This window comes from Homo sapiens, chromosome 10 (genome assembly GCF_000001405.40).
Source record: "Homo sapiens chromosome 10, GRCh38.p14 Primary Assembly".
Taxonomy (NCBI): Eukaryota; Metazoa; Chordata; class Mammalia; order Primates; family Hominidae; genus Homo; species Homo sapiens.
In genome coordinates, this window is record NC_000010.11 from 67,276,492 (window position 1) to 67,302,745 (window position 26,254).

General features: G+C 37.3%; 1 protein-coding gene across 8 annotated transcripts in view, besides 2 other annotated features; it reads right to left on the reverse strand.

Annotated features, from left to right (window-relative positions):
* Positions 1-26,254, reverse strand: part of CTNNA3 (catenin alpha 3) — a 1,851,072-nt gene that overhangs the window by 1,363,969 nt on the left and 460,849 nt on the right. For 2 of the 8 annotated variants that reach the window (XM_017016152.2, XM_017016151.2), the window contains one exon: positions 2,519-2,587. The exons of the other annotated variants lie outside the window; for them this stretch is intronic. In XM_017016152.2, the coding sequence (XP_016871641.1) occupies positions 2,519-2,587 (69 nt within the window). The remainder of the gene's footprint in view (positions 1-2,518; positions 2,588-26,254) is intronic. 8 annotated transcript variants of the gene reach the window in all.
* Positions 1,379-1,548: an enhancer, noted in NCBI's record as "experimental_15629 CRE fragment used in MPRA reporter constructs". NCBI's record gives its function as "activates a minimal promoter by MPRAs in K562 erythroleukemia cells, with activity observed for both the introgressed and non-introgressed 10:69037713 or rs117855715 variant alleles {active_cell/tissue: K562}" and the evidence as "EXISTENCE:reporter gene assay evidence [ECO:0000049][PMID:34662402]".
* Position 1,464: a transcriptional cis regulatory region, noted in NCBI's record as "Neanderthal adaptively introgressed variant 10:69037713 (GRCh37/hg19 assembly coordinates) or rs117855715 in the experimental_15629 CRE". NCBI's record gives its function as "modulates activity of the experimental_15629 enhancer by MPRAs in K562 erythroleukemia cells {active_cell/tissue: K562}" and the evidence as "EXISTENCE:reporter gene assay evidence [ECO:0000049][PMID:34662402]".

A 26,254-nucleotide genomic window follows, 5' to 3' on the forward strand; every position in this document is an offset into this window, starting at 1 on the left:
CCAAAAGTACAGCTATTGTTAAATAAATTATAGTATATCCACACAAGACAATATTATGCATCCATTGTATTTGTATTTTTTAATTAATTCTATGGGGCAATGTGTGATATATAAAATACAAAGAGAAAGTAAACTATATAAAATTATATATGGTTGATACATTTGCCGATGAAATGACATAATGATTGCCATTTGCTTCAAAATAATATGTGAGGGGAATGAAGTGGGTGTGACAGAGATGAAACAAGATGGATCGTGAATTGATAATTACTGAAGTTGGGTGTTAGGGACACAAAGGTTCATTACATTATTTTTTCTACTTTTGATAATGTTACAAATATTCTATAATAAAGGTTTAAGAAGCCTATATATACATTGTGGTTCTAATTATAAATCTATATATACACATATATATATTATAATATAACTAGTGTTTTATAACATATGTTCATCTTGAAGAAGACATCACCAAAATGTTAAGGCTGGCCCAAAGTGGTTGATCATTCCTTATTCATTAATACTTTTCTAATCAAACTTCTAAGTTTATAGGCATCCCAGGTCTTCCAAGATACTACTTTAAAATGTTACCTTTTTTCTAATTCATGCTTTCAAGTGGCAATTCATATAATTAAGAAGAATATGCTGATCATCACTCTACTTTATTGTTTCAAATTATCTTGAACTCTTAAACTCATAATCCTACATAAGATGACTATTTCTACCATGGCAATCCCTGTGGTTATTTGTTCAATGCCCACTGCCTTCTGATGCAACTGGCTCCCAGTACACCAGAAAGGTCCTTTATTGGCTGAGCACATTGATGGGTGGTTGTATGCAGTTTGAATAAAGATAGGAGATTATTAGGTAAAATAGAGGGAAAAGAAACCTAAAGTTGGATAATGATAACCTAGAGGAAAGGTAGTCAGAAGCTGGGGAAGGTGAATGCTTCTTAGTCCTGAGAAGACTAAAGTGTAAAGAATCTCCTTGGCAGCATGGTAGTGTCAGAGGCCTTTGAACCAGAGCAACTTCATCTTAAATAGGGGCTGGGTAAAATAAGGCTGAGACCTACTAGGCTGCATTCCCAGGAGATTAGGCATTCCTAGTCACAGGATGAGATGGGAAGTCGGCACAAGATACAGGTCACAAAGACTTTGCTGATAAAACAGATTGGGGTAAAGAAGCCGGCCAAAACCTACCAAAATGAAGATGGCATCAAAAGTGACCTCTGGTTGTCCTCACTTTTCATTAAAGGCTAATTATAATGCATTAGCATGCTAAAAGACACTCCCACCAGTGTCATGACAGTTTACAAATGCCATAGTAATGTCAGGAAGTTACACTGTCTGGTTTAAAAAGAGAAGGAACCCTCAGTTCTGGGAATTGCCCACCCCTTTCCCAGAAAACTTATGAATAATCCACCCCTTGTTTGGCATATAATCAAGAAATAACTATAAGTATTATCAATAGAGCAGTCCAAGATGCTGCCCTGCCTATGGACTGCCATTCTTTTATTCCTTTGCTTTCCCAGTAAACTTGCTTTCACTGTACTTTATGGACTCGCCCTGAATTCTTTCTTGCACAAGGTCCAAGAATCCTCTCTTGGGGTCTGGATTGGGACCCCTTTCCAGGAACAGGAGAACAAAGATGATTTCTGGAGAACGTACAGGTATAACAAAGATTTTTACAGTAATTTGTTATGGAATGTGCAAGGTAAAAGCTTTCCTTTGATGATGAAAAGAGTCAAACTCTGTAAAATATTTTAAGAGATTTATTCTGAACCAAATATGAGTGACCATGGCCTGTGACACAGCCCTTGGGAGGTCCAGAGAACATGTGCCCAAGGTGGTCAGGGTACAGCTTGGTTTTATATATTTTGGGGAGGCATGAGGCATCAATCAAATACATTTAAGAAACACATTGGTTTGGTTCAGAAAGGCGGGACAACTCAAAGCAGGGGCTTCCAGGCCATAGGTGAATTTAAACATTTTCTGGTTGAAAATTAGTTGAGTTTATCTGAAGACTGGGGATCAGTGGAAGGGAAATGTTCAGGTTAAGATAAAGGATTGTGGAGACCAAGTTTTATTGTGCAGAGGACTCTCTCAGATAGCAGACTTCAGAGAGAGAGCAGATTGTACAATGTTTCTTATCAGACCTAAAAACTTACCTGCCTTTCAGTTGACTGCCTCCTGGATCTAGAAAGAAAGGAAGGAAAACGAAGGGGGAAGGAGATTCTCTGTAGAATGTGGATTTTTCCCACAAGAGTCTTTGCAGGTCAATTTCAAGGTATGGCAAGGAAATATATTTTGGGGTAAAACATTTTGATTTTTTCCCTTCTTATCCTATAGTCAGATTGGAAAGTAAGCCACGATACACAGGGTTAAATAAAACCCATCTGATGAGAATTTATGGTTTGTAGGGCATGATTCCCCAGACCCCTTAGAAAGGAATTTGGGCAAGATAAAATCAGATCTCAGTCCTCACCTCCAAAATAACATTCAGCACAATCACCATTACTTACTGATGCTTTAGGCGTGGGTAAATTTTTTCTGGAGAATGCAAAGGTGGTGTTGAGTCCTGAGTTGTTTACCTATGGAGCAGTAATCAGAAAAACTGACATATGGGATCCATACTAAATAAGTGACATTTACTGCACCCCAAATACATCGAGTCAGTCATAAAACCTAGAGTCTAAGCAACACCAAGCCCTCAAAAGACTAAGGACACATAACAATTAACCCATCATTAGTCTATTAGTATACATACATTAACAATAACATTTTGAACCTGGAGAGAGCCATAAAATCATTCATTTGTAAACCAAAGTGTATCTGAGACAGGTCTCAATCAATTTGGAAGTTTATTTTGCCAGGGTTAAGGACATACCCTTATTAAGAAATAAACATAAAATCACCGAAACAGTCTGTGGTCTGTCTTTCTCCGAAGATGAACTTGAGGGCTTCAATATGTAAAGGGGGAAAGCGGGCTGGAGGGGAAGGAGGGAGAGTATGGAAATACACACACTGCAAGAGGAAAGGGGCAGATAGGGTAATAGTCAATTAGGTATTTGTCTTGTGCTTGGTAAATTGGCACTTTACATAAGTTAAGGTGAACACTATGTAGCTACGGGGAGATATTTAACCTTTTATCTGTAGCTATCTGCTTAGGAACAAAAGGAAAGGCGGCTGACTCAGCCTTCAGCTTAACTTTTTCCTTTTGGCATGGTGAATTGGGGTCCCGAGTTTCTACTTTCCTTTCACAAAATCTAACCTCCTAAAGCCACCCAGCTAGTTCCAGTCACAGCCAGATATAAAATCAAGGCTTTTGACTCAGTGCTCTTTCAACTACTCCAAACTGATAAGGTTTACTAGGGGAGGTGGAAGAGAAAAAACTGAGAAAATGAAAGAAACGGACAGAGAAAATTTCATTCATTGATAAAAACAGATGACATCTATCATTACTTCATAAAAGATACCAAAAATCATATCTATTACACAATTATAGAAAAATATATTAAATAATAGGCCTTACCATAGAAATTGTAGGAGTCCAGAGAACAATACCCCAAAGTATGGTGCTTTGGCATGCTGAGTTCTTTTAAATTAAAGGATATCAAAAGGCCTCATAAGCAGCCCCAGAACCAAGGACTTTTTGATCTCCTGTTTCTCACTCCAAGCACAGAGTGGAACCCTCTCTCTCAAATTCCTTTATCTGAGCTTTCCAAAAGGCACAGAATTGTCTTTTGTCCCCCGCCCTGAAATTTAATTATCTATGGCAGGAAAGAAGACTAAGGAATGTAACCAAAACTGGATGGACTTTGTCAGAAAATAGTGTCTGTCTCTAAAGCTCATTCAAATGCCAAAGAGAACCATTTACAAGCTAATTTCTGTCTCCTGGTGATGCAGGATTTTTTTCCTCCTTAGTTCGGGTAAAATCCAGGTTCTTGTCTCACAACCAGGAAAAATTAGGCACACAGATCCATTGAAAGGTAAGGAGAGCAGAGTTCATTGGGCAAAAAGAAAACTCTCAGCAAACAGGTGAGGGAGTCCTGCCAACCGGCTCCCACTTCACAGACTGAATACCAGGTCACCACACACAAGCTGAAGACGCCCGACTCCTGCCCCTGCATAAGGTGTCAATTCCTGGTGACTCCACCCCATTCTCCCAGTGTGCACATAGGCCCCCAGTGCATTGCAGGCATGCCCAGGCAAGAAGACCCTGTGCAGGTTCCCTTATCTGCCTCCTGCATTTATCACTGGGACCATTTAATTTCCCTAAAAATCATTTACAATCCCTCAAAATTGCCTATATTTCCTCCATTTCCCTCCCCCAATGAAGAGGGTATATAAGCTTCAACTGTCTGTCTGTTTCTTTGAGTCTTATATCTGTGGGACTCTCATACCCATGTATGTGCACAATAATAAACTTTTGTGTCTTTTTCTCCTGTTAATCTGTCTGTCTATTGTCAGTTTATTTTGGCAAAATGTGTCAATCATCAAAACATCAGAGGGAAAGTAGGCTTCCCCACAAAACACAGCAATTCTACACATTTTTACGTTTGACATTTTCATCATTATCCTCCCTCCACCATTCTGTCTTTATTTTTTCTCCTATTACTGATTTTAGGTCATGATCTTTACACTTTTGAAAAAAAAAATGAGAGGACAGTCAAATATTTTTCACCTCAAAAATGATTTAATCAAATAGCAAGATTTAACTAAATAAGACCAATAGTAGCAATAAAGACCTGTTTAGCATTTTCAAAGTTATTTTCTAACAAAAATGTTCACTTAAACATACTCTGGTCAATAGTTTATTTATTGCCTGATCTATGTAATCCACTACATTTCATCACTTTGATTCAGTTGCAAGTCCTTTTGTTTTCCTTCTGCAGCACCTTCACTAAATATAAAATATATCAGCACGCTGAGTGCTCTTTATTTACACTTCTGAGTGACTAGAGAAATTTATTTGATTGCAAAGCTTAAAAGGAGCCCAATAAGTCAGGAAAAAAATGCACAGCACTGCTTCTCTACTCAGACTAATTTTTTTCTAATATATATGATGGTTTATAATTTGCAGATATCTTTAAATATTTATAATTCAGCAGGGACTCCTTATTAGTTAAGTTTATTTGGAATAAAAATTAATTTTCCAAGATACTTCAATTTCATAGATTGTTACTGTCCTTTATGTCATATAGCATGAAAAAATGTCTAATGGGACAATCACTTGTATTATATTATTAATCATGAATAATTGATATGTAATCAATTCACTTTAGTTCTGAATATAAATATCCCACCAGCCAAATGAATCAAATTCAATTTATCTTACTTTTTAGAGGACATTTTCAATGTAACAAGAATGATAATGATTTCTAAGGAAAAGATCCTTGGATTATGCTTCCATAAGATGCATTCATTCATTCACTGATTCTTCAAATAAATATTGACTACTCTCTACATAGAAAACCTCATGATAGGTCCATATGACAACGCAGAGAGAGTTGCCAATCATTGTGGCCAATAGAAAACTGTGAAGTTTCATTTTAATGATAATACCAGTATGTCCTATTACACAAATAATGATTTCACATTATCATTTAAAGTAAATTAAACAGAAAATAAGACTATCATAATAAATATTATTTTTTAACTTATACTTTCTATTAGAAGTAATTCTACCCTATTCCTTACGCAACTTGGTCCAAAATTTATTTTAAAATTTTATAACTCTATATTGAATCCCTACTATATGTCAGACACTGCTAGTCTTGAACATACAAAAATGTTCCTAAGCCTAGCTGTGGAGAGAGATTCAAAGGCACTAATATAAACAATATAACATCATGATGAATGTTTTCCTGTAGGTATACTCCCATGGGAACACAAATTTGAGTAGGATGCAGAGAATGCAATTCATAGGAAAAGGCTTCTCAAGGGAAGTAATATTTATCCAAGCATAAATAAGAAAAGGAAAAGGAGAAGGAAGCGGATCTTCATATCTAAAAACAATTGCTTAACCCATGGTAACCTAAGTCTACTTTTATGTTTTCTTTTCTCACATTTTATGTTTTGCTCTTACATTATTTGATACAAATTACATCTTTAAACATTATAAAGCAATAAACGCAGTTTTACAATTTATGAAATTGTCTCAGGGGTATGGAGCTTTTGAGGCAGCTCCAAATCCATTCTTCTTTTTTCAGTGGCTGCTCAGCTGTGGGTTTCACAGCTACCATGGTTGTGTGACTACTGACTTTCAAGATTGGGGCTCAGAAAACAATGCCTCAAAATGAAGGCCTTAGCAGTAGCTCAAAAGCAAACATTTTTATTTGACCTTCTCCTGCATGCCTGTCTCTCAGTCCCATTCTCCCGCAAGGCTAGCCATGAAAACTAGAATCTCTCTTCCCCAAGGTGGGTCATAGAAAGCAGGACCCCTTTTCCCAAAAGCCAGCCTTAGAAACCTAAAAATAGTCTATGTAAAAACAGGCCATAAAGAAATTATCTAATCTATTTTGTTTGACATTCCAGAGGGGGCCCCATCCCACACCCAGAAGGAAGGACTGCTGCACAGAGAGGACAAGAAGAATCTAGACAGACAGGACTTGCTGGGTTTCCCCACTCAGTTTTTTAACACTAGATCATATTGTTATAGAAGGTAGTTAGTGAGACACAAGCATGGTAGGAGAGGGTCCACTGCTTCTTCACCAGGAATGTCAGGCAACCATCAGGTGATGGTAAGGTGGTTGTTATACAGTCTTGCTAAAATAATAATTGGTCGCAGCCAGTGCCAGGAAAAGGCAGTCTCCCAATAGACAGATAACATCTGAAACTGGTAATCAGCAGCTTCCCAATAAGATCTCAGGAGTTGGGTGAGTGGGCTCAAGCACGCACCCTAAGAGGCAAAATGGCAGATGACCTTCCTCTAGGAACACTCAGTTGGTAAGGAAAAAACATCTCAAGTGACTATGTGTACAACTTCAGTAAACACACTGTGCATTCAACCCCTCCAAAGTCCTAGTAGGTCACTGTGCATCTGGATGGCCCACCGCAAGGAAGAATCAGGATATAAGAGATGCAGAGATGCAGACCCCAGAAGCATGCTAATGAAATGTATAAAATCCTAAGTCAAAGGTCAAATCACATACTTGATCTCTCAAGTCACCCACTTGGCCCTCTTCTAAATGTACTTTACTTCCTGTCATTCCTGCTCTAAAACTTTTTAATAAACTTTCACTCCTCCTCCAAAACTTGTCTGGGTCTCTCACTCTGCCTTATGCCCCTCGGTCAAATTCTTTCTTCAGAGGAGGCAAGAATTGAAGGTTGCTGCGGACCTGTTTGGACTCGCCACCACTAACAATATCCTTTTGAACAATCATATTTCTACAGGTATGTCCATACTTCATTGAATCTCAGCCTAAAAATGGATAATGTATCTTTGTCTTCATTCTGAAGGCCACTGTGTATACACATTGAATAAATGTGTATGCCTTTTCTCCTATTAATCAATCTGCCTCACGTTAGTGATTTTTCAGCAAACCTTCAGAGGGCTGGGGTGGGGAAAGTGGGGAAGCTCTCCCTTTGCCCCCAAACAAGGCTACTGTGATCCTAGAGAGAGGGAGATGGAAATAGGGTAAATTAAAACACCACAAAAATCATTGTTCTTGTATCAATTCTGCCATTTTTCTTGTTGCAAGCCTTAATTTCCAGAGTTCTGAAAAAGTTATTTTGACCATTTTTGCCAGTGTTCTCATTGCTTTTAAGGAGTGAATTTTCAGATGTCCCCACTCTGCCATTTCAAAAGTACTCCCCTGGGGCTATGCTTTTGAATTACATTTAGGAGTGAATTGATTTAACGGAGAACAAAGAAGCATCTTTAAAGTAATTGACTTTTCAATGAAGACAAAAGAATTCATGCAACCAAATTAGTATTATTTTGTTCAAAAGCAACATCTTAGAAAGAAGTAACACTAATTCCATGGTAGTTCACATACTTAAATATATTTTGAATATTTTTATCTGTACTTACAGCGAGTAAGTAAAAAAAAATTAATGTTTTAATAATGGCAAATGTACCCTTTGGGAGAAATTTAATTGAACAAAGTCTAATTAAAAAGGTATTTGATCAGGCTGAATGTATCATCATTTTTTTATCTAAGCCAATTGATGGCTATAAAGTAATCAGGGTAATATTTGCACTTGGATCATAACCTAACTACAAAACCCTCATTCCAAAAGAGTAACTTTCCTTAAAATGTTATAACCAATGGAGAAAACATTGGAATAAGCTTATAGCATTCCCAGTGGACATATTTGGCTTAACAAGTTCTATAGTGAGTGTTAAAAATATTGAAAAAAGAAAAATAGCTCAGAGAAGTCTAAGCTATGTGAGGAATACAAAATTTATCAAGCCTGGAGAGACATAAGACTTCAGTCATCCCCTCACCCCCTGGGGGTGGCACCTATGCCCAGGGGTAATTGTTTAAAAGCGTTTTTGCTCCTGACTAGCTGCCTCACCCATTATCTTCATGTTCCTGGAATTTGTGACTTCTTCAAGACTTACTCCAAATAGATATTTACTCATTTCTCTGAGCTATCATGTATATAGAAAGTACACGTTATTAAACTTCTGTTTGCTGTTCTCATGTTAATGTCTTTTAGACATTAGAAGTTTTAGAAGACACTGTTCTCATGTTAATGTCTTTTAAACATTAGAAATTAGACATTTAGAAGTCCCAACTAATAACTAATGAAAGGTAGAGGAGAAAATTGTTTTTCCTCCTTTACAGCATTGCAGAGCTAGCTATGGGCCCCTAGAAATCATCCGTAAACTTCACATATTTAAAATAAGGAAATAGACGGCTAGAGAACTGCCCAAAGTCACTTAGCTAGCAGAGATTTTACAAAACATCAATGGGCATCTAAGAAGTGCCTACAATACATCAGGCACTGGGCTAGACACTACCCTTCACAAAATAAAACTATAAGTTGGGCCAATGACATTCAGTCTACTGCTCTTTGCACAACTTCACACTGCATAAATGAATAAATTCTCAAATAGCCATCAAAAATGAAATATCCAGAGGAGGCAGTCTAAAGAATTACAATGAATTTTTAAAGTAACACTTGTTTTGTAAACAGGAAAGTACATAGAAAGGAAAAGAGAAAATCCATTCTATATAAAATAGAAAAATATGTTTGTACTGACTCAATTATTTAAAATTAATATTGTGTGGCCTAGGAATATGTTTTTATATAATTAATGTTTGTTTTTTACAAAGGTTCCTACAGGCAGGAAATGTGTTTGATTTTTGTGTATACTTCAGATTTCATCACAACAGCAATATAATGCAGGACTCAATGCAAAGTAAGAAAAAACACCAGGCAATCAGTTTTGGTTGCTTTTTCACTAACAAAGCTTGTTAAGAAAAGAAGAGCATTTTTATTTTTTATAAATAGAGGATTTTAGTGCCTATTTTGGAATAGCAGGTAGTATTCCAGCTGTTTGGGGCTGCTTTGGGCTCTAGGCATTTTAAAATTAATGGGCTGGGCCAAACAAAGAGTGTATTTTCATTCCACATCAAATGTGTATGCTGGTTTCTAGAAATACAATATGTTTGTGCAAGTGTGGCAACATTTATCCTTCCAGGTAGTAAATGAAGACATCTGCCTTCTCCTAGAGACTTAGCTCTCCAAGTCAATTTAAAGAAACCAGCAAATAACCCTTAGTGACTCTTACCCTCACACAGAACAAGCTGATTTCTCATGACAGCTATATTCAATCTATGACTAAATAATGCCATTTTAAATGACCATGTGTGGGAAGTAAAACTATAAAGTGAACATGTGCTTTAGAGCCTGGAGCTCTTAGTTCAAATCCCAGTTCTGTCATTTACTAGTTGTAGGACATTTTTAAAATCTGTTAATTTCTCTGGATGGTCAGTTTCCTCCTATGTAAAATGGAGACAATATTACCTACCTCACAGGGTTAATGTGAAGATTACATTATATAGCTCATGTAAAGCACTTAGCTAAATAGCTGGCACAGAGTTGACACTTGATGAATGGTGCCTTTTATCTGCCCCCTCTGCAATTACTTACTTAAAGTTATCTATTATTTAAGCATCTTTCCATTCTTACCAAACTTAAAATTGGTACCCAAAAAAATCACCTAATTTTTCTCCTGTTGTACTAAGTAGCAAAAGAAAAACATTCAAGAAATGGGAAGGCCTTCATGATACAAGTTTTCATGTCTGTAAAATTAACTCTGCATTAACTCCTGACTTAAAATTCTACAACACAGAACTACAAAATTTTAAAAGAACAGAATATTAATCTAGAGTTGATATAAAAATACTAGCTGTCTCAACTTAAGGCATTTCACAAGCCTGAGAATTATTTCTGCTTTGACTTTGCAGCTCTACTGAAAGAAACCCTTACCCTAGCTGCAAACCTGGACAGATTCTTGAACACAATTTCTTGGCGCTTCCTCTGAAATCCCCCTAGAAGCAAGAGCTTCTGCTGAGCGACTCCATGGTGACTGGAACATGAAAAAACATGCTGGGCCCGAGCGCGGTGGCTCGTGCTTATAATCCCAGCACTTTGGGAGGCGGAGGCAGGTGGATCATGAGGTCAGGAGTTCGAGACCAGCCTGGACAATAAGGCAAAACCCCATCTCTACTAAAAATACAAAAATTAGCCGGGCATGGTGGTACACGCCTGTAGTCCCAGCTACTTGGGAAGCTGAGGCAGAAGAATCACTTGAACCCAGGAGACGGAGGTTGCAGTGAGCCCAGATCCCACCACTGCACTCCAGCCTGGGCAACAGAGTGAGACTCCATCTTGTAAAAAAAAAGAAAAGAAAAAACATTCTTACAGATTGTCTTTGTGATAGCCAAACCCATTCCAGACTAGTCAATGGTTTTGCCATCACTTTCGTGCAAATATTTTCTAAATATCTTTGCATATAGTATGATGTATTATAAAGACAATCCTCTGGAACTATTGTGTATGTTCACCATAAAAGGTACTCCTTATGCACATATTTCTCACACTGACTGCATACAAATGACTTGAATTTATAGAAGGATTTTTCTTCTTGTAGCCATTCATACCCAGCTCACAGCCCAAGCCAATGTGCGTCCTCCAAATGCAATCAGATGATGTGACCAGCCTTGAAACGCTCATCAGACATGTTTTCTAACATATATTCTTGGTCCAGTCTAAACTTGGATATTTGGAAACAGACTACTTAGAACACCAGCATTTGATATTGTGTTCAAAGATTGCAGAAAAACATGTAGTTATAATCACTCTAGTACTCTCCCTGATTATATAATTAGGGGTGTAGTTTTAGTCTTAAAAGAGTACCAAATAGACTTTGAGTCAGTAAAAAGAACAACTTTTACTGAGAGTAGAAGAGCATCTTTGCCATCAAATATGAGCTTTTGCAGTCAATTTAGCCCCTTCTCTAATTGACACTGTTCATAAAAGACATTTAAAACCATTTCATGTATTGTTAATATGCACAGTTTCAACACCATTACATAACCCATCAATGTGAAGATCAGAGGTTTATAATCACTGAAATTGATTAGTCCAATCCTCAAAACAAATAGCTTACTATTCTGTAAAATTTTTTCCCTGGTGCAAGTGGAAGTAGTATTGTAAAATGTCTTTGAAATCCAACAGGAATACAGATTTCTCCTGTAGGACACAGTTTTGCAAAAATTGCTTTAATCATTAAGTAAAGTTAAGCTTGATGAAAAATCTTTCTACTACACGTCTTTGAGTCCCAACAACAGAAGCACAGATGATGGCTGTGTGAACTTCTATCAGTTTGCTTCAAAATTAAAGAAAATCTTCTTAGCATACAAATCCCAACAAGTAGCCTAGCACCACTTTTCATTTATTACCAATGCAACCAATTTAAACAGAACTTATTCAGTTTATAAGATGGATATCTTGTCAACTGCTAATCATAATATAAACAATGAATTTGTACTGCATATTATCTGTGCATTTTTTCTCTTCAAATAAGATTGCAACCTTAACAGAAAATGTGGAACAAACCAGCTTCCGCAACATAGTTCTTTCTTTAACAATAACAACAATAAAACTATGCTAAAACTACACTGAAGCTACACTACAATAAACTGCAAAAAATCAAAAGATCCAAGCACTAACACTGAGTCACATTGTACTCTGGCACCTGTAATAAGATTACCTCCTTGTGACCTGCTCAAATTCTGGACCCAAAGAAAGTTTTCAGAAAGTTTTTCCAAAATCCTCTGTCTGTCACCCATAAAGCTTCATTCAGGTACTAAATGATAGGTAAGTTTAGTAGTGTAGTCCTAGCTACATGAAAGGCCAGGGCAGGAGGATTGCATGAACCCAGGAGTTCAAGGTTATAGTGAGCTATGATTGCACCACTGCACTCCATCCTGGCAAGAGAGCGAGATCCTGTCTCTAAATAAATAAATAACAGATAAATGATTTACAAATTTTTTATCAAGCACTCTTTAGAAAAACTTCAGCATTCACACATAATATATGTATTTATACATTATATACAAGTTCTAATCTCAGCCTTTATGTTAAATAATTACTAAACTTTGTTTTTTACTTAGATAAAAAGTAATTATCCGTAGAATTTCTAATATTTTTCAGATGTTCCACTGGATCATTGTGCATGCCTTCTGGGTATTCAACTTTGGAGAGTACTGTACTATATGAGTCAGGATTATTAGACAGAAAACCAATTAAAAACCTTAGATGTAAAAAGAGAAGAGAGAGGAGAGAAAGAAAGCACCAGTTGCAAATAGCCTAAGTTTTAAAGTACATCAAACATCGTTATATGCCAGAGCTTCACATAAATTATCTTAGTAAATCCTCAAAAAAGGCATTAAAAGAGGTATCATTTTTGCTCTTGTACAGATGAGGAAACTAGGATCAGGGTAATTACATCCAAGGTCTAAGTGTCAAAACAAATGATTGTCAGAGGACAGGAAGAAAATAAAAGGGAAGCCGTTAATCAAACATTTGGCCCTCTCATATCCCAAAATTCTAAAGATCTCTTACCACAAAGAAGGCAAATCTAGGAATAATCATCTAAAACATGTTCAGTACATGTATTTCAAGGCTCTAGAGACAAAGGGCAAAACATACTAAATTATTATTAGTGCTTGAGAAACTAATCAATTATCTTTTGATTGCCTGTCATTTCTTAAGCAGGTAACATGGATCCAACAAAGGAAGGATGGATGAATGGATGGATGGATGGATGGACGGATGGATGGATGGTTGATGGATGGATTTATTTATTTATTTATTTTAAAGACAGTGTCTCAATCTGTCTCCCATGATGGAGTGGAGTGGCTCACTGAAGCCTCAAACTCCTGGGTTCAAGGGATCTTCCCACCTCAGCCTCCCAACTACCTAGGACTGCAGGCATATACCACATGCCAGGCTAATTTAAAAAAAAAAAAACATTTGTAGAGACAGGGTCTCACTGTGTTGCCCAAACTGGCCTCAAATTCCTGGCCTCAAGTAATCCTCCTGCCTTGGCCTCCCAAAGTACTGGGATTACAGATGTGAGCTACCATGCCTCACCAAAGTCTTTAGAATCTCTATTAGCAGTCTTTAGAACTGTGGTATCCTTCATACAATGTATAAATGCTAGCAGCTCCAGTGATTCCCTGCTTACAGTGTTAAGGGATGGAGTAATACCTGCTTTTTTTATTTTATTTTGGTTTATTGGAGACCTGCACAACTTGTGTGGCATGTAGCACCACAAATCCTAGTCTGTTATGTAAAGAGAATTTAAACAAATTAATCACAAACATTCATGAGCACATATGCTTATTTGCATGACTGTCTTGTATTATAGCCTAAAAGTTATTCATGTCTTAAAGGTGTAGAAATACTGTGTCTTTCATCAACATAGCCTGAGACAATTGAGAATTTAATAAGATATGCAAAACCATAAAAATCATGGCTAATATTTATGCAACTTTTCTATGTGCCAGGATGTGTTCTAAGCATTTTATGTGTATTATCACTTTGAATCTTCACAAACACCTCATAAAGTAGATGCTATATGTGTCCCCATTTCCAACCAGGAAAACTGAGGCAACAAGAGGTAAGAAATGTGACCAAGGTTACATCACTAGCAGGATAACCAGATCTTTGACTCAAAGATGTCTGACTCCAGAGCTTCCTCCAAGAACTATGACAGACATACAGTAAGAGAGTTCAAAATACAGCAAATTGTTAACAAATATGTAGAGCAAATGGCTAACAATATCAATTAAGCACTCTGATATATCTCCAAGACTAGTTCTGCAACCCCTCGCAGCTATACATCCTAAAATATTCTGCCTCTTACATGTCTCAGAAATTAAAAGAAGATTCTGCTAATCCATGTTCAGTCTGTCACACATAATTGATGTGTGGGTGATGTTGAGTTTGCTTATTTGTTCACCCTTTCTTATGTAATATAATAGGTGATGTTACAGATGATAGAAAAACATAAGGTTGAAAGGATGGACTCCGGAGTCAGATGCACAAGGATTCACATTGCTCTCTGGCTGTTTTTGGCTATATAATAAATTGATCCCTCCAAGTCTCAGTCTCCCCTTCTATAAATGGAGATATTGACACCTGCCTCATTAAATAGCTGTAAGGAGAAAATGAAATAACATATGTAAAAGAAAATAATACATGTACAATGCTTGGGACGTGGTGAGCTCCCAAACTATGCTAGCTATGGTAAATAAAAATAACCCCACTAATAGTGACACAGCTGGTGTTAACAGTGTGATCTATGGTACATGGACACAGAAGAGATAGTTAACCTATTGAGTGGCTAAAATTGTGAGCTTGGTGTGAAAGATGAATGATCTATCCTGGTCCACTGATTTTCTATAGGTCTCCACAGCACTTGCTCACCCACCTCTTTACAAAGCATTTCTCCTCTCTCTAGCATTTCTCATTGTTATCTCTAACAAGTGATTTATTTTAAGTTCATCTTTTCTCATTTCCTGTGACCTGTTCAGAAGCTCATGTACATCTACCATTGTGAGCACCCAAATAGTTTGTTATCTCCTCACACAATACTTCATAGTCAGCTGATTCACTGGGGTTCGTTTTACTATGTAACCATCTACCATAAATACCTAGATTGTTTAAAAGGCCACACCGCCACTCACACACAAAAAGAAAGCTTTGCATATTACTGTAACCTCTTCACATGATTTACTAGTGTTAACACAGCTTTCTATGAAAAATGAAAGATAAAAGTTGTAGAGACCAAGGGAAAACTCCTTCAGCCTCTAAAGGTTCATGGAAAAATCAACTCACAAAAGGCAAATTAATTACAGAAACGGCATACAAATGTATTTAATGTGTACATGAGAGCCTTCAGAATGAAAACCCAAAGATGCAGGGGAAATTGTCCATTTATATGCTTCAGTTCAACAAAGTATGAACAGCCATACTCAAATAAGATTGGACAAAAAGTTTACTACCTAATGCTAATAGGTTGAGTGGGGAAGGTCTGTCTAGACTCTTCTTGGCCTCTCTGAGCATGCCTTTCTTCCTTCCGGGTATGGGGCAGGACTCTCTCTTGAATGGCGGGTGGGGGTCTTAAGACCTACAGTAAAACAATGTCAGTTAGATAATTTCTTTATGGCCAGTTTTTACACAGCAGGGCAGAGAGAAAGTTTGAGTAATATTTTTAGGTGTTATGGGGGGCTTTAGGGAAAAGAAGTTCTAGTTTCTACGACATGCCCTGGGGAAGAGGGATTCTCATTTCTATGGCTGGATGTAGGTGAATGGGGCTGAGAGACAGGAGGGCAGGAGAAAGTCAAAGAAGCTTTCACTTCTGAGACCTTCATTTTGAGGTATTTTTTTTTCCGAGTCCCAACAAAGTAAAGTGGGAATCCAGACAATTCTCCACAATTTCATGTAAAACAATAAGCGCAATGATTGTAATATACTGATCTACTTCTCAAATTTAAATGTCAAATGATACCACATCATTTTACTTTTTCAGATTCCATAATTAGTCCCCCTCCCATTTTTATATCTATAAACTCCTACTTGGCTATTTTCTTTGAACTGCTACAATGAAACCATACTCTAAGGGATAGAACAATTTTATCAACGTTTGTAATAATGAAAACTTTGAAAGCTTTAGTTTTACTTAATAATCAGTTAATAAAAAGCCATAAAGCTGTTAATACATTTTAGATTCAAGTAAAAATAGTAATGACTTTCAAAGAGCAACATTTCTGATTGGCAATATTAAATAGGAACAAATCATTGTGGTTTGAGATGTGTTTAATGCAGAAAGTCCTGTGTGCTCACCATGTATCACAATTAATGTTTTCTGGTAACTCTAATGGGCTCACAGGGATTTGGAAGTTTGGTAACTATCAGCACTTGAAACTTTTTCCTCTTTGTCCAATACTAGATAAATAAACCATTCTAGTTTAGGATATTGAATCATATAAATTCCTAAAGAGAATTAGTAGATTAAGAAGAGTCAATAAAGCAGAACCATCAGAAGTTCTCTAAATGGAAAGAAGTTATAAATACTACCTATTTCCTTGTTAATATCAGGTTACATAAAAAAATTATTCCTGAAAATAAAGTTGCTAAGCTTGATCAAGTAGACTTTCTTTTTTATAAGTAGATTAGACTTTTCAACCTAATGTTTTGAGGAAAACATCTCCAAAGGTCCTCTTAGAAGGTAGTTGGAAGGAGCCCTAGTAAAAGAAAAATCTATAAAGCTTACAGATAAAAATCAGCTTAAATTGTGTCCATCCATGAATGTCAATTTCTATTACAGGGCAGAATTTAATTAATTTTGTTTCATTTAATAAATATTCTCCTATGGTATACAATTCCTTACTAGACACTATATCAGATTTCTAAGTAGTTCAAAGTATTAAGGATTACTTATGACTGGAACATGTTATCAATGTACATATTAAATTTTCTCCTCCTTCTAAATTACACATTTTATTTTTTTTATTATACTTTAAGTTTTAGGGTACACGTGCACAACGTGCAGGTTAGCTACATATGTATACATGTGCCATGTTGGTGTGCTGCACCCATTAACTCGTCATTTAACATTAGGTATATCTCCTAATGCTATCCCTCCCCCTCCCCCCACCCCACAACAGGCCCCAGTGTGTGATGTCCCCCTTCCTGTGTCCATGTGTTCTCATTGTTCAATTCCCACCTATGAGTGAGAGCATGCGGTGTTTGGTTTTTTGTCCTTGCGATAGTTTGCTGAGAATGATGGTTTCCAGCTTCATCCATGTCCCTACAAAGGACATGAACTCATCATTTTTTATGGCTTTATAGTATTCCATGGTGTATATTTGCTACATTTTCTTAATCCAGTCTCTCACTGTTGGACATTTGGCTTGGTTCCAAGTCTTTGCTATTGTGAATAGTGCTGCAATAAACATACGATAAATTACACATTTTAAGTGCTCTAGGTTCAATTGGCTCTGAGCATGGTAAACAAACTGCAGTCACTAAAGAATCTCCAAAGGCTTATCTAATACCAGTCAAAGTTATAGATTCTATTTGGAAGGCTTTTTCATCCTACAAAGAGGATGAGGTCTTATTCGTTGTCCCCAACACCTCGCTTTTTGAGTGTTCGCACAGTGTTTGGCACTCAGTGGCACTCAATAACTGTTTGCTGAAAAAAATAAATCAATGAGTATTTAGAGACCCAAATATATATAAGGAAATCTAATACTCGAGTAAATATACCAATAGACACAAGATATAGGTGGGGAAAAAGACTATGTGTTGCTACAATTTCAGGGTAATTACATACATACAATCATTCAAGAATTTCAAACTTAAAATGTATTCAACTACACCAAGTTAACCTTCTCAATAATATGTTCCCTTCTGTTCCACAAATTATTCTTAATTTGATTTTTTTTAAAAATCACACTATCAATTCAGGTAACATTTTTACAAATAAAATGTTTTGATTTTTAAGAAGAAGAATAATGACTACAAAGCTATGTATATTGTCAAATCAAATAAATTTATCATGCACCTGAAACTTGCACCAAGGAAAGGAATTCTAAAAAAGTGACTCCCCAGTTCTCCCACTGAGACAGGAGTTAAAAAGATTTAAGACACTGACAGTTAAATCAATCTCAGTGATCTCTTTTACTGGGGGAAAGTACTGATTTGATTTATAAAAGTTTAATTTCAAATTAAAACAGCTGTTAATATCCTTTACCAACCATTATTTTGTTATACGTGGCAGGAAAATAAGCAGATGAGGTCATCTGCCTAGACTGAGGTGTTGTGATTATTTACAGCCCTAATTTTTGTTCAGTAATTGGTAGGTACAGTTCTAATTCTTGCTAATGACTACGATATATTGCTCAGGCAAATTAGAGGAATAGAATGTTCTGTTACTTTAGCAGTATTGGTAAAAAGTGACACAATAAAAATGAGTACTCGTTGAATTAAATGCCTTCAACAACATCATAATTCACCCCAAAGATGCTAATACTAAAAACACATCCTGCCCCCATGAAGTGGACTTCAGTAGAATGGAATTTCTGTATTTATTTAGCATTGGCTTCTATCACTAATTACCCCTTCTTTAATGTAATTTTGGGGCATAACGTAGTAAGTGGTTCATGATCACTAATTAAATGCCTACTATCTGTGAGAAAACATATTTTAAATTGTTCTCTTGAAATAAAAATGAAAATACTCAAAAGAAAATTCTTTCTTAAAGGTCTCAGAAAGAAAGCAGGATTTTTTAAAAGTTAATTCATGACAACAGATAGATCATAAATTGTAAAATTATAAAGCCATTTTTACTGGAATAGAAGAGGATTAGCAGCTAAGGAAATACAGTCACGGGCATGGTAAGATATACAGGTACTTTCTAAGTTGCTTCATTTGAGTCACGTGGGAATTCCAAATTGAATCATATGGGAAGTTAGGTCAGAGAACATTCTTACTCCAGGAGTTTTTCAAGGATAATAGCTGAGACCTGCTTATATATAGGCCATAATGCAGCTATTTAAAGTAAATAAAGTCTTCAATTCCTAAAGTGGCAGATTCCATACCAAGTTCTAATGTACCCAGCCACTCACAGCTAAAGCCACAAACAAATGAAATCAATAAAATCAGGCAGTAAAGCCAACATCTGGGGTTGCTGTTCATTGCCTAAAAGTGTCAATGTGGGTTTTAATTAGCTGGAGTAAGAAGAATAAGAGTTGAATAAAATCAACTTAAATTAGAAGACACACACCTGTGATGCAAATATTTTATTCTGTTAAATCTTGTTTATTATACTACTTATCACATTTATCTCAGATGCTGATACAAAATGCTATGCAACAGGCTTTGAAAACTGTAATGTACCATACACATGCAGGGCCACTACCTACGGATGCTCAGGATGCGCAGTTCATTGCAGTGCCACATCTAAGGGAGGGTCCATAGTAGACACTGTAGATATCATGAATTTTTCAGGGTGATCAAAGTTAAATGTCTCAGTCTAACAAGAATTTCTGACAAAGGTGAAGTGTGAGTAAGCAATGACCCTGTAAGATATTATTTTTAACCCAAAATTTATATTATCTCAGCAAAGAGGTTTCTGGAGGAAGCAAACACAGTTGAAATTATAGCATTTTTTTTCTTTTCTCTCTAAAATATTATTAGATGCTCATTTAAGGCAAACACCACAATGCAGTACAGCATCATAGCCTAACAGAGCATTATCGCCTACCTAGCTCTATGGCTAAGCATTTAAGAGGTCAGACCATCATTCTACAAAGCTAGCTGTTTCTGAATTATATACATACAGTAAACCCAGTAAATTCTGTGGGCTTGAAATCACTAATGCCATAAAAAGGTCTGTTAATTGAAGGTGATTTTATGGGTATACCATGGAGATGGATAAAATATTTTATAAGTCCAAAAATGGCAGCGATTTTAGAAGCACTGTAAGAAAAGGCAAATCAATATTTGGACTTTGCGTCTTTCTTTGTGAGGACAAAGCATGGCATCCTCCAGGTTGAAAGGGGTTTAATGCAATCCAGTTGTCACTTGGTAGTTGGATGACCAATGATGCTGTATCAAGGGTTCAGTGCTGGGCCGGGCGTGGCAGCTCACGCCTGTAATCCCAGCACTTTGGGAGGCCGAGGCAGGAAGAACACCTGAGGTCAGGAGTTCAAGACCAGCCTGGCCAATGTGGTGAAACCCCGTCTTTACTAAAAATACAAAAAGTAGCCAGGCATAGTGGCAGGTGCCTGTAATCCCAGCTACTTGGGAGGCTGAGGCAGGAGAATCGCTTCAACCCGGGAGGCAGAGGTTGCAGTGAGCCAAGACTGCACCATTGCACTCCAGCCTGGGCAACAAGAATGAAACGCTGTCTCAAAAAAAAAAAAAAAAAAAAAAAAAAAAGAGTTCAGTGCTGGTCCCTGATCCTAGCAAATTAAATAGTCAGCAACTTGTTGAAGTCAGATCAGCTTTGTAGAGGAAAAACCCATATTGTTGAGCTTTGTATGACCTCTAGTCAGTCACCACAGCCACATTGTACGTGGACTCTCTGACCAAGCAACAGGGTAGCTGGAAAAAGTTGACTGACATTCACAGAATGAGTCATTTGACCACCTGAAAACTGAGTGTCCCATTTACTGTGAATCTCTTTGGTAGGCATTAATGTGAGACAGGAATATCCTCACACTCCATGACAGTTCCAAGAGGTGTCCTCCAGATCCTCTTTGTCACCAACTTCACAAATATTTTCTTTCCAACTCCCTGACCAGCCAATCAGTTTGCTAGGGACCATCCATGAATTACTGCATATTGATACCTTAGGACATCTTTACTTCTATAGGAAATTAACAACTAGATGTAGTGCTCAGAGTTCAGCCCACTGGAAGGATTTCCCTTCCCACTGTCTTTCACGGTCCTCCCTGCATAGGTTACACCTATCCCCTATAGCTGGTTTCAGTATACTATGCAATCCATCCATAAATGGACCACATATTTTCCTTCTCTGTTAACATATCATAGGAAATTCCCCACGAAGCCATAGATATGGACTGAAGAAGAGGCAGAGAAATAGTAGAATCAAGTACCATGGGAGTGTAAATCACCTGCTTGTGCAGTTTACTTGGTGGGCATTCTGGGTCTCTCAGGCTGCTCTTAATATGCCACATCTGATTACTACTGGAATGCTCTTAGGCACATCCTATTTTAAGGTTCACTGGATTCGATAACACCTTGTTCATTATGGACAGGTCAGGTCACATACTTTGCATCCTGCGGTCATGTAGGGTCCAGAAGCAAGCCAGAAAAACTGCTTTTTAAATGGAAAATAGTTGTTGGCAGATAAGAAATCTGGCCATGATTCTCCTTTGAGGTTTCTTCCAGAAACTCCAAATAGTAATTCTGTCTATCGCATACATTTCTAGTACATTGAGCCTGCTGGGCCATAAAATTAATGAGGCATAACAGTCATTGGAATGGTAAGATGTACAAGTACTTTTTAAGTTGGCTTCATCTGAGTCACATGGGAATCCCAAACTGAATCATATCGGAAGTTAAGTCAAAGATGATTTTTACTCCAGGAGTTTTTCAAGGATAACAGCTGAGACCATCTTATAGATAGGCTGTAATGCAGACAGGACCTAAGGACCTAATGCAGAGACCTTCCTTTCTCCTGGATTCACTCAAACTGCCAGCCTTAGCATTTATCCAGTAAATGGTCAGCAGTAGCCCATCCGAAGGTAATATGTATTGCATTCAAAATCCGAAGTGTCTCACCAAGCATTGTGCTTGATGGTGGATGGGGTTCAAGGTTCAGGTTTAATAATCTGTTTTTCACTTTAGAATAACCTGCTTTAGTGTCACTCTAATCCTAGAAACTTCACTGATGTGGTTAGCCCTTCAAATTTTACAGGATTTATCTCCCACACTCCAACATGCATATATCTAAAGTTACTATAGTACTTGCTTCTTCCTGCCTGTTAGGCCGAATTAGCATAACGCTAACAATTTAATAGTATATTTGATGTTCTATTGGGTATAAAAGAAACCAAAGTCCCTCTAGATTATGAGTGATCAGCTAGGTGTTACTTATGGTAAACCTGTAAAGATATACTGTTGTCCCTGCCATGTAAATGCAAACTACTTCTGATTTTTTCATATCAATGTTAATGGAAAATAAAACAACTTCTAAAGGGCTGTGCTAGTTAGTTCCCATAAATGTTGCACAACTGGAACTATATGTGCAAATAGCATCACAACCTACTTAAGTCTGCAAAAATATACTCTCATGCTCCATGACCCACATGTTTTGCATCAGCCAAACAGTCAAATTAAACAAATATGTAGTAGGAATAGTCACTCTTCATATGTTGCATTTTTTTTTTTTAGACGAAGTCTTGCTCTGTTGCCAGGCTGGAGTGCAGTAGTGCGATCTCCTGGGTTCAAGTGATTTTCCTGTCTCAGCCTCCCAAGTAGCTGGGACTACAAGCACGCACCACCACACCCAGCTAATTTTTGTATTTTTAGTAGAGATGGAGTTTCACCATGTTGGCCAGGATGGTCTCGATCTCTTGACCTCATGATCCACTCGCCTTAGTTATATCTTTTATGGTGGTACTAATCTCTGACATTCCCTCAGGAATGTGATGTTACTTTTGGTTTACTACCTCAGCTAGGTGAAAAATGTCATTCCAGGAGCTTCTGCTTGGCCCTTTCTTATCATAATAGCCTTCATTACATGGATCAAGAAACCAACGTGTTGATTCCACCAGTTACTAATTATATCTATTCTCATTATATATTCTGAGACTAAGAAATGCTGTTAGATTTAGAATATGATCAAGATCTACGTAAATCTCTACTCTGACTTTTAAATACTATGGTGGCATTTAGAGTCTCTGGGGATCAGAATGAATTTAAAGCCAGAATCGAATAACTCAGAAGTTCTGAGTATTATTTCCTTTTCTCCCGTGTAAAGTCACCCTGGTAGAAGGCTGTAGGATTCTTTATATTGTGAAGATTTCTCTTTCCCACTGGCTTTCAGGGTCATCCCCATATGGGGTTTTAGTGCAGCACCTATCCAATTACAGCTGGTCTCAGTATGCCATAAAGATTCATCCATAAATCAGGACCACACAGTTTCCTCCTCTATTATTATAGAAATATGTTTAGAGATGGCTTGGAAAAAATGCAAAATATACAGCCATTGCTACATTGCAAGGCCCTTTTACAAAGAGACCTGACCTTTTCCTCAATTGAAAGGACCTAATATATAAATTGGCATACATCTGAAAACACTAAGTTAAATTGTTTCTGCCCACAAGACTTGACATAAGGCAGAATTTTTCTGCCTATATATGTAAGACAGTACATTGGAAGGCTGCACATGTATTTCATTCTTAGAACTACATCATCAGTTAGCTATTGCTTTAGATTAATGGTTCTCGAAGTGTCATGTCCAGGCCAGCAGCATCAGCATTACCTAGGAATTTGTTAGAAATAAAAATTTTTAGACTCCACTTCAGACCTATTGAATTAGAAATTCTGGAGGTGGGGCCCAGCAACCTGGGTTTTAGCAAGCCCCCAACATAAGTCTGACACACAGTGAGGTTAAAAAACCGCTCCCCCCACAAAAAATACAGAAAAGAAAATCATTCCCATAGATGCTTACAGGTCAAAACTCCATCCCTGTGGCTTGTTGTAATTTCAAACACCTCGTTTGTAATGATTAAGGGCCACCAGCTGGTCTCCATCACTGTCAAACCATCATGAATCCTACTGGATCAGGAAACTCAGTTCCATTATGGCATAACCTACAGTCATCTCCTTCCTACAGAGGACAGCAACCACAGAGCTATTTAACAATGCTGTTATCCCCCTCACCAATGCATATTATAGTGCTTTCATCAAAACAGCATCCTCTGGCCTTCCTAGGGAGTACGGTTAGGAGTTGGCTGATCCATTCTAGCATTTCCGTTTCCCCAAGCCTGTGAATTCCTTCCTCTAGAGTAGGTCAGGTAATCTCAAACATTTCTACCTTATTGACTATAGGTCATCATTGAGTTCAGGCTTCAATTAATATATTCATAGACTATTAATGCCTCTCCCAAGTGCTCAGACCAACATATTAAACCCTAAATTCCAGGTGAGTACACCAATGTCAACAATTTAGCCTGATGAACATTAGCATTCACTCCCCATGTATGCCAATACAGACTGGTGGGGTCTTGACCTTCTTGACCTCTTTCAGTGTATAAACTGTTTCTCCTGGACCAGGCCTTGTACCTTCCCATCTGGGCTATGTTGAGTCAATAAGAGGTGGCAAAGATTGGTCCTGAGGTTAATCAGCATCTGCCTGTGAGACAGGTAAGAATTTTTTTATGTACAATATTTTTTATTTAAGTTTTAAAATAAATTTTATTGTATAAATTTAAGGTATACAACATGATGTTATGGTATGTTTTGTAGCAAAAGTAAAATACTTTTATACACTGAGTAGCCAAATCCCTTAGTGAGCCAGGAGGAGTTAGATTTAGGGCCAGAGGCTCCTCAGCCATACCTGGTCTGAATCTGGAAGAGATGGGAAACTCTTTCAAGTCTGCAGTGGAGAGCTTCGTTTGTCCACACATGTCCTTAATTGTATGTGCCTAGTTTTTAAATTACTCCTTTTTTCTATTTAACTTCCTGAGAGACATAAGAAGAAGCCAGGGACTCCACAATCTTTACAATTATTAAAAACCACAATGAGACATCTCACCTCATACCTGTTAGAATGGTTTTTATCAAAAAGATGGAAGATAAGTATAGGAGAGAATGTGGAGAAAAGGCAACCCTTGTACACTGTGGTGGGAAGGTCAATTAGTACAGCCATTATAGAAAACAGCATGGAGAGTCCTCAAAAAACTAAAAATAGAGCTATCATATCATCCAGCAATCCCACTACTGGGTATGTATTCAAAAGAAATGAAATCAGCATGTCAAAGAAATATCTGCACTCCCATGTTCATAGCAGCATTATTCACAATAGCCAAGATATAGAATCAACCTAAGTGTCCATCAACAGATAAATGAAGAAAAAGTGGTATATATATATATAAGGAATGCAATTTTGCCTTTAAACATAAGAAAATCCTGGCTGGGCATGGTGGCTCACGCCTGTAATCCCAGCACTTTGGGAGGCCAAGGCGGGTGGATCACGAGGTCAGGAGATGGAGACCATCCTGGCTAACACGGTGAAACCCCGTCTCTACTAAAAATACACAAAAATTAGCTGGGGGTGGTGGTGGGCGCCTGTAGTCCCAGCTAATCGGGAGGCTGAGGCAGGAGAATGGCGTGAACCCGGGAGGCGGAGCTTGCAGTGAGCGGAGATCGCGCCACTGCACCCCAGCCTGGGCGACAGAGCGAGACTCGTCAAGAAAGAAAAAAGAAAGAAAGAAAGAACGAAAGAACGAAAGAAAGAAAGAAAGAAAGAAAGAAAGAAAGAAAGAAAGAAAGAAAGAAAGAAAGAAAGAAAGAAAGAAAGAAAGAAAGAAAGAAAGAAAGAAAATCCTTTCATTTGCAACAATAGGGTGAACCTGGAGGACATTATGTTAGGTGAAATAAGCCAGGGCACAGAAAGACAAATACCAAATGATCTCATTTATATGTGGAATCTAAAAAAGTTGAACTCACAGAAGCAGAGAGTACAATGAGAGTACGATGGTAGTTACGAGGGGCTGGAGGAATGGGGGATTGGGGAGATGTTGGTTAAACAATTCAAAATTTCAGTTCAATAGGAAGAATAAGTCAAGAGATCTATTGTACAATATGGTGACTACAATTAATAAGAATGTATTGTATTATGTAAATCAATAAGAAAATAGATTTTAAGTGTTCTCACCACAAAAATGATAAGTATGTGAGGTAATGCATGTATCAATTCGCTTGACTGAGCCATTCTGCAATGTATACATATTTAAAAATGTAATGTTTATACAATAAATATAAACAATTGTTGTCAATTAAAATAAAATAAAATGGTAAATAAGTTATCACTGACATACAATTAAGAACCACAGCCACTTGACCTCCAATAATCTATCTTCCATGTACACTTCATCCCCATGTTACCACCAGTGATAATCTGAGTAATTATGCCACCTCCTGCCATAAACTGCCCATGTCCCATTTTCTTCCGCTGTACACTTTGAATA